Source organism: Homo sapiens, chromosome 1, assembly GCF_000001405.40.
Source record: "Homo sapiens chromosome 1, GRCh38.p14 Primary Assembly".
NCBI classification, from domain to species: domain Eukaryota; kingdom Metazoa; phylum Chordata; class Mammalia; order Primates; family Hominidae; genus Homo; species Homo sapiens.
In genome coordinates, this window is record NC_000001.11 from 241,416,334 (window position 1) to 241,419,619 (window position 3,286).

Below are 3,286 nucleotides of genomic sequence, written 5' to 3' on the forward strand. Positions count from 1 at the left end.
CTTTTGAGCTCTTTGAACTCAGAGGGTATGCCTGCCAATGTTCATATTTCTTTTCTTTTTCTTTTCTTTTTTTTTTTTTGATGGCTTTTTTCTCTGTTGCTCAGGCTGGCCTTGAACTCCTGAGCTGAAGCAATCCTCTTCCCTCAGCCTCACAAGTAGCTGGGACTATAACGCGTGTCACAATCCCTGGCTCATGTTCATACTTCAATCTTCAGCGTGGTGATTTAAATGTAATGGGTGCTCATTAAATATATTTTAATTTATATTTAATAAATATAAACAAGATTCATCATTTAAATAAGAGGGAAACTAGCATCAAAGCAACACGTCTGGCTATTCAAGAGAGAAACATCTCTTATTTCACTCTCTGAATTCTAAGTTGGAGGAAAGGGAACCGGTATGATCGAAAGAGGACAAGAGAGAAAATTCTCAGATTTATTTGGAAAGCGATTCTATTCATCTTATGTCGGATTCTTTAAGTGAAACTAGTTAAGTGAAAAGAGAAGGAAAACAGTGACTACAAGAGAATCAATCAGCAGATATTGAAAGACTTTCATGTAACTAATGGCATCTGCTTAGAAAATATGAATTGGGCCCAAAGTGGTATTCTTTTTGGTCACTTATATTGGAATTTAAATGTGTAACTAAAAATGAAATCTTTAGAGAAAATTTCATTTCTTAAGCTGAAATCTTTCCACAAGTTGGAGAAAAGAGAGATGTGCATCCGGGAAATCAAACTGAAAAGACAGGCTGAGCTTATAAATTGAGATTCCCCAATCAGAGGCCATACTTTTCTTTCCTAATTACTGTTCTTTTCCTTGGATCCTACATCCATCACTACATTAATTCCAGGCTTAACTTACAGCCAGCTCTTCTCCGTGGCCCATCTCAGCATAATGAACTTTTGCCATTATCTTGATCTTGTTAAATTCTCTCTAATCTTAACCTAATGAGATACAGTGAATGTGCAACCATAAATTAGATGTTCAGACAATCTCAGTTTGTTCTCAGTGCAGCAATCCTTTTAAATTACATCCATCACTCTTTTGCTCAAGCACACTTCATGGCTCCCTATTTTAGTAAAGTAAAAGAAAAAGCCCTTTCAATGGCCTTCACAGGCTGGTGTCTCTGTATTACTCCCCGTCCCTCCCCCTAGCACACATGGCTCACTCTCCTCCAGTCACACCAATGTCCTTGGGAAGTCTTCCACCAAGTCTTTGTTCAAATGACATCTTCTCAATCACCACTCTGTTTAGAAATAGAATCACCTCCTAACCCACACCCTTCTCTGCCCTATTTCTTCTCTCCAGTCCATTTATCACCTTTCAATATACTATACAATTTTCTTTTTTATTATTGTGTTTATTGCTTATTTTCTATTCCTCACACACTAGAATGGGAGCTTTGCAGGCATTTCTGCCATGCTTTTCATTGAGGTATTCTAAGGTCTTAGAACAGTGCCTGACGTATAGTTAGTAGTTACTCAATAGATATTTGTTGAGTGAATGAATGAGGAAAGGAAAGAATATGCCCAATATTCATGATCATTTATTAAGTGGTAACAAAAATAATGTGAAACGTAAGTTTAATTATATTTGCTTCTCTATACTTTGGACCACATGTCTATATGTTAGAATTAAGCATTCTAACGAGGCACTGAGATAGAGAGAGAAGAAATAGGCTTGGGAATCAACTACAGTGATGTTCAAATTGTAGTCCTGCCCCTTGCTAGCTATGGAAGACTTAAGTCAATTTCTGTGAGCTTCAGTTATCTCCTTTGTGAAACGGCGGTGTTATAAGTATTCAATGAAAAACAAGCACAGCTTTTGGTGCAACAGGCACATGATAACTGTGAGTTTCTCCTTTTGTCTCTCAGCCCCTGTCAGGCTTCAATTTGCAAAGCTCCATAGTGGATCCCTAAACCTCTCCACACAGGAAATTGTGCAGGAGACTGGGGGAAAGGTGACGAGGCAGGTATCAAATATTTTCTAGTTCTTTGCCGGAGGCCCTGGCCAGTGGGCATACTTTAGAATGAGGATAAACGAAAAGAGCACCTCTTACCCATGATTATGGTGGATGGAGTCAAGACCAGGCATGGACAAGATGCCAGTGGAGAGTGCTGGAGGGTGAGAACCATGGACACCTAAGTCAACATGTCATCAAAGCGAAAACAGCCTGAACCTGGAGTCAAAAGCCAAGTACTAAATCAAAGGATTAGCAAGATAAAGAGATCAAGCACAAGAAGGTTGGAAATGGCTAGAGGGAACATGGACTTGGTGAAGGCCATTGCCAGTGGCCAAGTGGCTATGTCCTGCAGCTGGACTGAAAGGATAGGATGCCATAAGGTGCTTCTGGAAGTCCCTTAAAAGTCCTGCACAGAGGCTGGCTGCAGTGGCTCACACCTGTAATCCTGGCACTTTGGGAGGCTGAGGTGGACGGATTACCTGAGGTCAGGAGTTTGAGACCAGCCTGGCCAACATGGTGAAACTCCATCTCTACTAAAAATACAAAAATTAGCCAGGCGCAGTGGCAGGCACCTGTAATCCCAGCTACTCGGGAGGCTGAGGCAGGAGAATCGCTTGAACCCGGGAGGCGGAGGTTGCAGTGAACTGAGATCGCACCACTGCACTCTAGCCTGGGTGACAGAGCAAGACTCCGTCTCAAAAAAAAAAAAAAAAAAAAAAGTCCTGCACAGAATGAACAGAAGCCACCGTGGTCATGCCAGGGCCTTCTCTGGACACCTGGGGACTTTTGCCTTGACTGACACTCTTCTGATATTTCTAAAGGAAGCTTTCAGCTTGGGAAAATTGTGGGCGGGGGTGGCGGAGGGGAAGAGGCAGGACTGGGGAATATTACTTCTCCTCTTCCTCGAGTCAGAGGGAGTATTACTACATACTCTGAAGCCAGAATAAACATTGAAGTGAAAAAATGTGTTAGCGTAAGTTTAATCCAGCCCTTCACTGTTTACATGAACACAATGAACAATCAACAGCAAGTCAGTAAATGAGTGTTTATTGAGCAAATGCTCTCAAGAGGCACAGCCGTGCTGCCCACCTTTCATGCAAGCAGCAGCACCAACTTTGACCTCTCAACTTCCCCATTAGGAGTGATTTTGACTGAGAAATTCCCTGAAATTTTTAAAAAACCAATGGGATATGTGGACTGCTACTAGATTTCTTTACCTTAGATATGAATATGACATCTTTCATATTTTAATAAGTAACTGACCTGTTAAGTTCTCTTAAAGGCATTTATGAAATTTGCTCTCAAAGGTGGTAAAACTAGA

General features: G+C 41.1%; 1 annotated feature.

The window, feature by feature from the left end:
• Window positions 1,940–2,441: an enhancer, noted in NCBI's record as "NANOG hESC enhancer chr1:241581573-241582074 (GRCh37/hg19 assembly coordinates)". NCBI's record gives its function as "activates a minimal SCP1, AML or CMV promoter by ChIP-STARR-seq in primed H9 embryonic stem cells {active_cell/tissue: H9 hESC(primed)}" and the evidence as "EXISTENCE:reporter gene assay evidence [ECO:0000049][PMID:30033119]".